This window comes from Homo sapiens, chromosome 14 (assembly GCF_000001405.40).
Source record: "Homo sapiens chromosome 14, GRCh38.p14 Primary Assembly".
Classification (NCBI taxonomy): Eukaryota; Metazoa; Chordata; class Mammalia; order Primates; family Hominidae; genus Homo; species Homo sapiens.
The window spans coordinates 38705032-38719080 of record NC_000014.9 but is presented as its reverse complement, the minus strand read 5'-3'; positions in this window follow the sequence as shown (position 1 = coordinate 38719080).

Genomic DNA, 14049 nt, shown 5'->3' with positions numbered 1-14049 from the left:
AGACTTAGCCTGTTCTAACTTGAATGGGAATCATGATAGATTGAGAGATGAAGCTAGAGATATAGACAGATAATAAGAAAGAGAAGTTCCAGGGCAAGGGAGGCTGGGAGTATTCCAACATTGAAAGGTTGGGGAGTAAAGGAACCAGCCAAGACTGAGAGGAAGCATTTGAGACCATGTGGTGTCCCGGAAGTCAAGTGAAGAAAGTGCTTCAAGAAGGAAATAATGTTTAACCAGGTCAAAGGCTGCTAAGTCAAGTAAGATGAAGAATCTGGATTTCCACTTTGGAGATCATTGGAGAGCTTGGCAGGAGCAGTTTTGATGGAGCAATCAGGCAAAAGCATACTCCGAGTGGGTTTAAGTGAGAACAGGAAGAGAGAAACTGTACAGAGCAAGTCTATTTGTTTCAAAGTGTGGAAATGGGGTCATACCAGGACAGGAAAGTGGGATTGTGAGTGCCTTAAAAAAATGATAGAAATACTGCATGTTGAGTACAGATGGGAAAATAAAACATGTAGGAGGAAGGGGCAATTGTGGGAGTTGTATCCTTGAGCAGAAGAGATGGAATTAGATTTACGTGTTCAAATGGAGGGGTCAGCTTTGTTAGGAAATGGGTGGTCATGAATTTAAAGTGAGATCAATCAGCACAATTATGTGTTTTTCTTCAGACACATTCAGCTGTGTGGGTGCAGGTGTGGAGTAGATGAAGCACTGGATTCAACTAGGCTTGAAAGTGATGACTTGATTACCATTTTCAAGTACAGTTGTCCCTCAGTATCCATGGTGGATTGGTGCCAAAACCGCCACAACCCCCTTCCCCTCCAGGATACCAAAATCCTCTTATTTGAAATGGCATAATAAAGACAGGTTGGTGGTGCGTGCCTATAATCCCAGCTACTCAGGAGGCTGAAGTGGGAGGATCACCCAAGAGTTCAAGGCCAGCCTGGGCAACATACTGAGACCCCATGTCTTAAAAAAAAATTAAAAATGGCATAGTATTTGCATATAACTTACACACATCTTCGTGTATACTTTAAATAATCTCTAGATTAGTTATACCTAATGCAATGCAAATGCTATGTAAATAGTTTTACTGTATTGTTTAGGGGCTAATGACAAGAAAAATCTGTCCATGTTCAGTACAAATGTGGTTTTTTTCCTGAATATTTTGCATCTATGGTTGGTTGAATCCATGGATATGGAACTCAGATATAGAGGGCTGACTGTATGTTAGCTGTTATTCTCAATGTTTTTGGGAAATCAAATGAGAGAAATGGCCTTTAATAAAAATAAAAAAGAACAACCCTGAGATATTTAAGAGAAGACCCATTCCTGGTCAAAGAACCAATAACAAAACAAGCATGAAATTTTTATTCCTGAAGAAGGTTTTTGTTTTGTTTTGTTTTTGGCTGATTTTCAATAATAGTAGATTCTCTCTGGTTAGAAAGTCCCTTCAATAAGGAAAAGTAAGTAATTAGACTTACTGATCCAAACACCTGTTGATCTGATCTTTTGAAAGTAACCAATAGCTCTGACTTTGTGTCTTTTATCCTCCCCCCAGAATATTTAATCAATTTTTTGTCACTAGCTTTGTAAGAGGGTACTAAGTAAACAAGATAACAATACAAGCAAGGGGTTTTTGAGCCCAACTCATGCTAGTTATTGGCACACATTTAATATGGCATCTGGATGGGAAATCCATACTGAGTGAGATTAAGGCAATGAAGTGAGAAAATGAAAAATTCATCCAGGAAGTGAATGTCCATGGCCAAATTACCAATGTTTATATATGTATATAAAACAACTTAGCATCAATTTGTTGCAGTAGTTATAACAGGCCTTGGCAAGGAGTTTTAGGCCAGAAGAGGATTTAAATTTATTATAAACTAGAGTGTTGTGATGTTCAGTGTGTTAGGGTTTCATCTGGAACACTGAATCAGTGTTCTGATGAGGGACGTGACTAAAATTAGCAAACTTGGGTCTAGTTGGCTGCACCAAAGCAGAAGTCAGCTGCGTCACACCTGTTCTGCATGACTGGCTGTTTATATAAGATAATATCAGGCAGAGAATGCTGGCAGAAAATTACCAAAATCACCCAAGGCCTAGCGTTTCAAATGTGTCTGTGAAAAATGGCTGATTTATGACAAGGAATATGCTCATAATAGGATATTAAGAGAAATAACGCAGGTATTAATTTTATACATAGTATGTGCTCAACTGTTTTTTTTAAAGGCATAGGAAAACAGGCTAGAAGGAAATGAATGTTAATTGTGTCTTTTTGTGATTGAAGCCTGGAGCATTAAACCTCAAGACAAAATATTGAGGCAAATCTTGGTCAGACACTTAGGAGTATTGAAAGCAAAAACTATTTCTGGGTTTGTTTCCTTTATGATTGCCTGTTTTATTTGTGTTTTTGTGTTATAATTTGTATCATATGTAGCCCGATGATAGCGATTTAATACATGGCTGTTTCTTCTTATACCACATTAATGCTGGAAGAATATACTTTTAGACATGCATACTGTGAATTCTGTTTTAGGAAACTCAGAGATATGTTTATACATATAACATTTTTATTGAAGAACTGCTATGTGTCACTGTTTTTTTTCTTTTTTCTTTTTTTTATTATACTTTAAGTTTTAGGGTACATGTGCACAACGTGCAGGTTTGTTACATATCTATACATGTGCCATGTTGGTGTGCTGTACCCATTAACTCGTCATTTAACATTAGGTATATCTCCTAATACTATCCCTCACCCCTCCCGCCACCCCACAACAGGCCCCGGTGTGTGATGTTCCCCTTCCTGTGTCCATGTGTTCTCATTGTTCAATTCCCACCTATGAGTGAGAACATGTGGTGTTTGGTTTTTTGTCCTTGTGATAGTTTGCTGAGAATGATGGTTTCCAGCTTCATCCATGTCCCTACAAAGGACATGAACTCATCCTTTCTTATGGCTGCATAGTACTCCATGGTGTATATGTGCCACATTTTCTTAATCCAGTCTATCGTTGTTGGACATTTGGGTTGGTTCTAAGTCTTTGCTATTGTGAATAGCGCCGCAATAAACATACGTGTGCAGGTGTCTTTATAGTAGTGTGATTTATAATCCTTTTGGTATCTACTCAGCAATGGGATCGCTGGGTCAAATGGTATTTCTAGTTCTAGATCCTTGAGGAATTGCCACACACTAGTCCACAATGGTTGAACTAGTTTACACTCCCACCAACAGTGTGAAAGCATTCCTATTTCTCCACATCCTCTCCAGCATCTGTTGTTTCCTGACTTTTTAATGATTGCCATTCTAACTGGTGTGAGATGGTATCTCATTGTGGTTTTGATTTGCATTTCTCTGATGGCCAGTGATGATGAGCATTTTTTCATGTGTCTGTTGGCTGCATAAATGTCTTCTTTTGAGAAGTGTCTGTTCATATCCTTCACCCACTTGTTGATGGGGTTGTTTGTTTTTTTCTTGTAAATTTGTTTGAGTTCATTGTAGATATTGGATATTAGCCCTTTTTCAGATGAGTAGATTGCAAAAATTTTGTCCTATTCTGTAGGTTGCCTGTTCACTCTGATGGTAGTTTCTTTTGCTGTGCAGAAGCTCTTTAGTTTAATTAGATCCCATTTGTCAATTTTGTCTTTTGTTGCCATTGCTTTTGGTGTTTTAGACATGAAGTCCTTGCCCATGCCTATGTCCTGAATGGTATTGCCTAGGCTTTCTTCCAGGGTTTTTATGGTTTTAGGTCTAACATTCAAATCTTTAATCCATCTTGAATTAATTTTAGTATAAGGTGTAAGGAAGGGATCCAGTTTCAGCTTTCTACATATGGCTAGCCAGTTTTCCCAGCACCATTAATTAAATAGGGAATCCTTTCCCCATTTCTTGTTTTTGTCAGGTTTGTCAAAGATCAGATAGTTGTAGATATTTGGCATTATTTCTGAGGGCTCTGTTCTGTTCCATTGGTCTATATCTCTGTTTTGGTACCAGTACCATGCTGTTTTGGTTACTGTAGCCTTGTAGTATAGTTTGAAGTCAGGTAGCGTGATGCCTCCAGCTTTGTTCTTTTGGCTTAGGATTGACTTGGCAATGCAGGCTCTTTTTTGGTTCCATATGAACTTTAAAGTAGTTTTTTCCAATTCTGTGAAGAAAGTCATTGGTAGCTTGATGGGGATGGCATTGAATCTATAAATTACCTTGGGCAGTATGGCCATTTTCATGATATTGATTCTTCCTACCCATGAGCATGGAATGTTCTTCCATTTGTTTGTATCCTCTTTTATTTCCTTGAGCAGTGGTTTGTAGTTCTCCTTGAAGAGGTCCTTCACATCCCTTGTAAGTTGGATTCCTAGGTATTTTATTCTCTTTGAAGCAATTGTGAGTGGGAGTTCACTCATGATTTGGCTCTCTGTTTGTCTGTTATTGTTGTATAAGAATGCTTGTGATTTTTGCACATTGATTTTGTATCCTGAGACTCTGCTGAAGTTGCTTATCAGCTGAAGGAGATTTTGGGCTGAGACTATGGGGTTTTCTAGATATACAATCATGTCATGTGCAAACAGGGACAATTTGACTTCCTCTTTTCCTCATTGAGTACCCTTTATTTCTTTCTCCTGCCTGATTGCCCTGGCCAGAATTTCCAACACTGTGTTGAATAGGAATGGTGAGAGAGGACATCCCTGTCTTGTGCCAGTTTTCAAAGGGAATGCTTCCAGTTTTTGCCCATTCAGTATGATATTGGCTGTAGGTTTGTCATAAATAGCTCTTATTATTTTGAGATACGTCCCATCAATACCTAATTTATTGGGAGTTTTTAGTACGAAGTGCTGTTGAATTTTGTCAAAGGCCTTTTCTGCATCTATTGAGAAAATCATGTGGTTTTTGTCTTTGGTTCTGTTTATATGCTGGATTACATTGATTGATTTGCATATGTTGAACCAGTCTTGCATCCCAGGGATGAAGCCCACTTGATCATGGTGGATAAGCTTTTTGATGTGCTGCTGGATTCTGTTTGCCAGTATTTTATTGAGGATTTTTACATCGATGTTCATCAGGGATATTGGTCTAAAATTCTCTTTTTTTGTTGTGTCTCTGCCAGGCTTTGGTATCAGGATGATGCTGGCATCATAAAATGAGTTAGGGAGGATTCCCTCTTTTTCTGTTTATTGGAATAGTTTCAGAAGGAATGGTACCAGCTCCTCCTTGTACCTCTGGTAGAATTTGGCTGTGAATCCGTCTGGTCCTGGACTTTTTTTTGTTGGTAAGCTATTGATTATTGCCTCAATTTCAGAGCCTGTTATTGGTGTATTCAGGGATTCAACTTCTTCCTGGTTTAGTCTTGGGAGAGTGCATGTGTCGAGGAATTTATCCATTTCTTCCAGATTTTCTAGTTTATTTGCATAGAGGTGTTTATAGTATTCTCTGATGGTAGTTTGTATTTCTGTGGGATCGGTGGTGATATCCCCTTTATCATTTTTTCTTGCATCTATTTGATTCTTCTCTCTTTTGTTCTTTATTAGTCTTGCTAGCGGTCTATCAATTTTGTTCTTTTCAAAAAACCAGCTCCTGGATTCATTGATTTTTTGAAGGGTTTTTAATGCTCTAATTCCTTCAGTTCCGCTCTGATCTTAGTTATTTCTTGCCTTCTGCTAGCTTTTGAATGTGTTTGCTCTTGCTTCTCTAGTTCTTTTAATTGTGTCACTCTTATTAGGCACTGGACCTTTCAGACACGGTCCCTAACCTCATGGAGCTTGCAGAATAAAATGGAGGGTGTATTAGTTTTCTGTTGCTGCATAAGAAGTTACAATGCACTTAGCAGCTTAACACAACACACATTAATTATCTCACAGTTTCAGTGGGCAGGATGCAGGGCATGGCTTACTGGGTCCTTGGCTCAGGGCCTCACATGGTTGCAATCAAGGTGTTGCCAGGCTGCAGCCTTATCCAATGGCTCAACTGGGGAAAAATCTGCTTTGAAGCTTACTTGCTGTGTTGATAGAATTCACCTCCCTGTGGCATGATTGAGGGCCCTGGCTTCTTGCTGGCTGTTGGCTGGAGTCTACTCTCAGTTCCTAGAGGCCACTCTCAGCTCCTTGCCATGTGGCTTTCCCAACATGACCATTTAATTCTTCAGAGCCAGCTAAGGAGAGATAATAAGTAGTGAGTCTGTTAGAAAGAGAGAGCTGTATATAATGTAATGTCATCACAAGAATGATGTTCTACTGTCTTTGCATATTCTGCTGGTTAGAAGAAAGCCACAGTTCTATATACAGCTAGCCACTGCTATGGGCAAATGGGGCTTATTCTGCTGGGAACGGTCCGAGAGGTCTCATAAAATGCACCTTAGAATGGAATGCAGCTGTCATTCAGGTTTGGTCAAGGGTTGCCCCATGAGGGAGAATTCTGACTTCAAGGCATGTAGATGGCTTAGAATGACTGAGCAGGTTCCCAAAGGCATCTCTCATGGGGGCAACAGTGAAACCCTGGGTGAAAGTGATAGCTACCTAGAGCAGCTGAGGTGAGGTATTACCAGGTTACAGGTTTGCAGTGTTGGTTCCCACAGCAATGGCTGGAGTAAAAAGGCAGGTTGAGAGGGTGTGCGGTGGGACTAAGAAGTGTTTCATGTACACAGGTGGTGAGAGGCAGAGCTGGAGGCTAAGTCTGTCTGACTCTATTGCCATCAGCTGCTACATGACCATTCTCCTGAACTTTAACAAATTCGCTCTTTTTTCATAAGTACTATATTTCTTCTCTGCACTGAAATTCCTCATTTAACTCTCATTGCTTTGGGTAAAACTTTACAGCAATGCTTCTCAAAATGTAATGTGCATACAAATCACCTGGGGATCTTGTTAAATTGCTGATTCTGATTCAGTACATCAGGTGTGGTCTTACAGGCTGCATGTCTAACAAGCTTCCAGGTGATGTCAATGCTGCTGGTCTGCAGGCCACACTTTGAGTAGCAAGGTAGTTAGGGAAAAATATAAATGAAAATGTATAGTAAGGTAAAAAATAAATGAAAAATATAAATGTGTAACTAGGTTGTATATTTGAATGAACTGAGCAAAAGGCACAGTGATGCATTCTGAGGTTGCTAACTCAACAGAGCTTTTGACAAGCATATTTACTTTCCCAGTGGTCAGAGGTTTACTAAACGCTTTGTGTATTTTGAATGATGATTTGAATAATATTTTTATATAAAACCCTCTCCCAGAATGGTTCAAAGTGCTCTTTCAGGGTACTAATTCTCTTTTACAAAGGTAGTATTATAATAATATACTAGTAATGTGAAAAATCAAATATGTACTTCCTACAAAACATCATTTTCTTGCTCTGCATGTACATCCTCATTAAAAATTGCATTCCCAAAACCAAAATAATAAATAATAGTATCATTAGGGTACAGTGAACTTATTGGAGTTTTGTCTCTGCTTCCTAAAGGGAAAAATATTACGTTTCAAAGTCCTGCATCATCTGGTAAGAAGTTTTGTTCTGGTAACACTGTGTTTACTATTGACTGATCCAATTTGATTAGATTTTCATTCATGGTATTTCTTCCAAAGAAGAAAAAAATGAAATAATCCCAGGGATCCTGTAATATATTTATGTAGTTCTCTAAAAGACATGATTAACTTCTGCAATATGGTTTCTCAAGAAACACTTTGAAAGAAAATATGTAAAAGCATACCTCTAAGGTTTCAAGCTAAATTGAGATTTGATATTGTAATATGATACTGCAGATAAGGAACTGACTTAAACCATGAAGACTTAACAAACCCAATAATGGTTTAAAAATTATTTAGATGGTTTTATTCTTTTAGGTTTTCTATTTATTCACTCCATGTTCAACAAACATCTATTGAGCATCCATTGTGAGCATTGACATAGCCCTGGTTATGCAGTGAGGAACAAAATAGAGTTCCTGATGTCATGGAAGTTACACCCGTGGAGAAGGCAGACCTTAAGCAAATAGTTACACAAATGCACACATCATTACTTATGCGGTGAGTATTATGAAATAAACTGCGCAGAGTTCTACAGGAAGTAGTGTGCTCCTCACATTTGAGGAATTAAAGAAGCCCAGGGTGCTGGAGCAGGGCACCAATAAGGAAGATATGGGAAAATGCTTATATAGCACACCCAATGTATCAGGAGGAGCCATCAATCAGCTCAAGTCCTTACTACCACCTTGTGAGGCCAACGTCAGTGTTATTCTCATTTTATAGATCAGAGGCATAGAGAGTATGCCAATTGCCCAGTGTTTCCTGGGTAGTGTGTTTCAACCAAAGATATGTGGCTTAGGGTCTTCCTCCTCTGCCCTGCATTGCCTCTCTGCAGGGGAAAGGCAGCAGGGCTCAGGAGATCACACACATTGGCAGCTTTCTCTTTTGTCCTCTCTCTGTGTGTAATAATATGCAACTTCAAAGCTTTAGGCGTTATGTGAAAGAACAGCAGGTTAGTTGACTTAATTAGATAAAATAACCATCAAATAAAATAGTAATAGTTCATTACCTCATAAGACAACTTATAGAGCTGATAAGTAAGCACTCATAATGCGTAACCATGTTGTCATTTCAAAAGATCTCTCCATGAGGGATGTGTGGAAGAAAATAACCATAAACTATTTTCACATCTCAGCATGGGTGATTCAGGTCTTCATTTTCTGACTGGGATGGTAACATGCTGTGATGGTTAATATTGCGTGTCGACTTGATCGGATTGAAGGAGGCAAAGTATTATTCCTGGGTATGTCTGTGACGGTGTTGCCAAAGAAGATTAACATTTGAGTCAGTGGACTGAGAGAAGCAGATCTATCCTCAAGCTGGGTGGGCACCATCTAGTCAGCTGCCACCGTTGCTAGAATAAAGCAGGCAGGAAAAGATGGAAGGCCAGACTTGCTGAGTCGTCTGGTCTTCATCTTTCTCCTGTGCTGGATGCTTCCTGCTCTCAAACATCAGACTCCCAGTTCTTCAGCTTTTGAACTCTTGGACTTAGACCAGTGGTTTGCCAGGGACTCTCGGGCCTTTGGCCACAGACTGAAAGCTGCACTGTTGGCTTCCCTACTTTTGAGGTTTTGGGACTTGGACTGATCCACCACTGGCTTCCTTGCTCCTTAACCTGCAGATGGCCTATCTTGGGACTTTACCTTGTGATCGTGTGAGTTAATTCTCTTTAATAAACTCGCTTTCATATATACATATATCCTATTAGTTCTGTCCCACTAGAGAACCCTGACTAATACACATGCCCTTTCTATAATTCCTTGAAGATGTGTAAGTGATACAATTCATTGAGGAGACTTTTTTTTTGTATTTTTTTCTTTTCTTTTCTTTTCTTTCTTTTTTTTTTGAGAGGGGGTCTCGCTCTGTCTCCCAGGCTGGAGTGCAGTGGCGTGATCTCTGCTCACTGCAAGCTCCGCCTCCCGTCAACACCATTCTCCTGCCTCAGCCTCCCGAGTAGTTGGGACTACAGGCACCTGCCACCACGCCCAGCTAATTTTTTGTATTTTTAGTAGAGATGGAGTTTCACCATGTTAGCCAAGATGGTCTCGATCTCCTGACCTCGTGATCCGCCCGCCTCGGCCTCCCAAAAGTGCTGGGATTACAGGCATGAGCCACTGCACCCGGGCTTTCTTTGTATTTTCTAAGGCAGGAAAATGATGTAAATGTTTAGATGTTATAGCAGGAGTCTAAGAAATGGAATTTTAAGTAATTTTCCTTTTGTCACTAAGAGTAGTTTAGTTTTGCTATAGATTTACCTTAAGCTTTAAATAATAAATGCCTATAAACTTAAAAATATTTATTGCAATTTTCATTTAATTTCCTCCTTAAGCCAGATACATTTCCCAGCACTGAAACCAAGCAGTTGGATAAGTTTTTGCTGTCATAGTTTAGTAAGTGGCAATGCTAAGGAAGAGAACAAAACTGGTGCAGGGCTGCTACTTATCACACCAAGGAATCCAGATGCCTCCATGCAGTTAGTGTATCTGATGGGAAACTCAGAAAAAGACAGATATGAAGCTCTTACGTTTCATGATCTAGGCTTTTCAGGGCTTTACCTTTTGTGACTGGCTTTTATCAAATTGCATGTTTAATAGTAGGCAGAAAAAGTTAAGAAAACGCATAAACCATAAGCTGGATAATAATCTTTGAGAAACTAAAAGTTGGCTGTTTGGAGCATTGATTGTTATAGAATCATAGGAATGTTAGAAATACTCTTTTTCCCCTTTAAGGATGAAAAGCAAGGCTGAGACATAAGTGAATTTTCCAAGATCATATATCAAGCTGGTAGCAGAGAACGAGATAGAGCCACACTCTCCTAACTCATAGCAGTGACCTCAGCATTGAGATTAGGGGTGTGTGTCTGTGTGTGTGTAACAATGTGCTTTAGGTTTCCTAAGACAAAGGCCATGAAACTAGAAACACAATATGCAGTTCTCCAGGAAACATACATATCCAGAGCACATAGAAAATCCCAAACTTAGAGTGCACATGGCTTCTGAAGCAAAGATTAAGTCAATAAAGATACAATATGGGGATAATGTTTGAGCAATATGCTACTATGGTCTTTAATAAAACACCTTCACCCTTGGTAAGGCAGCAAACTATGGTCCTTTTTGATTTAATCAGTTATTTTTAAAGACTAAAACACCTTACAGATAGTCTACATTTGAAAAATATTAGGATAATTTAATGAATTTATTATGCCCTTGTCCACTCTTGGCCATGTAGAACCAGGTATGATCTCCTACTAGCGTACTCCTGTGTGAAGCCCTCTCAGAGCCTTTCCAGAACTGTAGCTACCCAGGGGCTGTGGTGGGAGAGGTCTTCCCAGGGCACAGAGAGCATATCTGCTGCTGTGAACTTGGACTTTTAAACAATGTCAATGAAAAAATACTATTCCCTGCTGGGGCTGACCACACCAATCTCTGCTCTCCCCTTAGTGCCACTGCTCCAAGAGACTGTTCCACCAAGTCCAAAGGCAGAGGAAGAGGGAGGGGATGGAAGCTGGGAGTAGATAATATTTACTTCTTTACCGATCTTCAAATTGGCATCTAGAAATGCAAGAAAACCATAAGCAGTGAATAGTACTAATACGAGAAATAAGATTTTCTGTTACAAGTTAAATGTTAATAAAAGGAATAAAACCATAACTAAATAGCTTTCCTTCAATAGAAAATCAAGTATAAAATACAATGGAGAAAAACCACTTTTACAGTAACAATAAAGACCATGAAATATCTAGAAATACTTTTTACCCCAAACATATAAAACCTATATAAAGAAAAATAAAGCTTTCCTGAATTATAAAAGAAGACTTGAATAAATGGTGGGGCATGCCATATTCTTGGTTGTAAAGGTTTTGCTTTTCCTTGAGAGAGTTTATGTTTATAATACAATTCCAATAAAAATTCAGTAGGATTAAATACATACACACACATTTCAAAATTTGACTTTGGACATGATACATAAGGCCTTTGGACTTTGGTATGAGAATAAACTGGTCAACGTTTCTTGAATACATTTTGAAAATATGAATAATCTTAAAATGATCAGATCTCTTAATACTTCTAGTTTTGACACTAGATACATAATTGGAAGTGATAATAAAACTCCATGTTTAAGAATGTTTGTCAAAGTTTTGTGAATAAAATTGGCCTGGGCAACATAGTGAGACCTTGTCTCTACTAAAAATGAAAAAAAATTAGCTATGTGTGGTGGTTTGGTGCATGCCTGTAGTCCCAAGCTACTTGGGAGGCTAAGATGGAATGACGACTTGAGCCCAGGAGTTCGAGGCTGCAGTGAGCCATGATTGCACCACTGTACCCCAGCCTGTGCGACAGAGTGAGACCTTTTCTATTAAAAAAAAAAATTGAAGTTGGCAAAATCAATGAGGCAACTGGCTCAAACACATTTTGACATAAACATGAGGTAAAGTATTATGCAGCTACTAAAACCTCTATTTAAATACTAATTAATGACATGAAACCATAAATAAATTTAAAATTATATAAAGTTTCTTAATAAAAAATAAGTATATTGCATATACACATATAGGCAAAGAACACATGTAAGTGAAGAAAATTTATTGAAATGTTTCCAGTAGTTATCTTAGGATGGTGAAATCGTAAAGTAGATGCGGGTCCAACTTCTAACTGTGAGATTCTGGTTAAGTTTTGTTGTTATTCCAGGTCTTAATTCCTTCATATATAAAATGAAGAAAATAACAATACAGTTGCTGTGAGGGTTAAATTTGCTAATACATGCAAAATGTTTAGCATAGTGCTTAGCATATACCAAGTATTGAATAAATAGCATTTATATCAATAATTAATGTTACATAATTTCATATTTTATAAATTTTAGACCTTGCAGATTTATTAACTTTATAATCAGAAAAAGATGATGAATATTATACATTTCAAAAAGAGGAGGTTCAGAAATTTAAGTCAAAGTGAAAACCAAGAGCAAAAAAGACATGGGAAGTTAGCAGAGAATGTACCGCATGGAGTAAGATGAATTTGGCCTTAAGTAGCCCAATTTAAAAAAGGAAATTATAACATAACAGTTATTGAATGTGTTCTCTGTGCTAGGACTTTTAAGTATTATGTACATGTTATATACATTCTTGATATCAGCCTGTGAGGAAGGTACTATTATTACCATCTTACAGATGAGGAAAATAAGGTACAGAAAGTTGAAGTAATTCATTCAAGGTTGTAGAGCAAGTAAGCCGCAGAACTAGACTATGAAGCAGTCTGGATCCATTTAACCACTCCACTGTACTGCCTTCTTACATGATGAGTTCTACATGATTCAGGTAAGATAAAAGAAAATGAATTGCTTAAGATAAGCACAACAATTTCTGATAGTGAGATAAGAAACATTGCCCCTGAATGGCCTCATGAAGATGACACTGCTCAATTTAATGATGAACATTCTCCATGTATCCTTACAACAGAAATACAGGTTTCATAGCTCTGTTTATTATGATGTCTCTCAATGTGAGTTAGTGACCTTGCATTAAAGCACAATCATTAAAAATCTTTATCTTGGAGAAAGGCCCATGAGTAGAGAGCAGACTTGATAGGTTAATGGAGAGAGACTAGCATACTGAAAAATCTTTAAAATAACTCTCTTTTGTGCTGAAAAATCTTTAAAATAATTTTGAGTAATTGAAGAATGATTGAGGGCTTTGCCACAAACTTGAAACTCAAACAAGGACTTCTAAAGAGGTAAGAAATCTCATAAAACACAGGAATAAGATCACAATTAGTTTCTATTATTCTTTAAAGTTTAGATATGAAAAAAATTAAAAAATGTAAGATGTTGACTAGAATAACAAAAAAATTGTGTACAGTTGTGATACTGAAAGTGACCGTTTTGGTTTGCAGTTGGGAAAAGGGTATTCATTAATTTGGTGTGGCATACTGAATAATTCAGTTGTCATATATAGGGTTTAAGTTTGTCACAGGTTGGACTCTCCAGAAGCAGATGTTGAGACAGAGTTTGGGTACAAGATGTTTATTAGGGATCAAGACCTGTGAAAGGAATGGGGAGGAAGCAGAACTGTCCATGTTGGAACACAATGGCCTGACATTTATATTCACGCCGTGCTCAATTACTGGACGCAAGCTGCTCTGAAAAGGGTGTAATCTGGAGTGAAGCATCTCTCTCCAGCTGAGGCTAATTCCGAAGGAGCTAACAGCTGGAGGCCATCTGCTGAGTGCGTTCCCCACAAATGGGCCACAAGCCCTTCCTTTAAGGGTTCCCTTAATCTCTTAACAGATATTTTGGGAGTGGGTGCCTGTTCAAACCAAAGATTCCTGCTGGCTATACTAGTGTGTGGTCAGTTTCCAGGGGAGTTAGCAGGTAAGCACTGGAAGAACAATGCTTAGAACAGAGATCGGCAAATGATAGATAGCTCATGGGTCAAATCCAGCAGTGATCCATTTTTGCATGGCCCATGAGCTAGGAATGTTTGTTACATTTTTAAAGGATTGCAAAAAACATACAAAAATACCTCGAGGAATATGTGACGGACTGTAT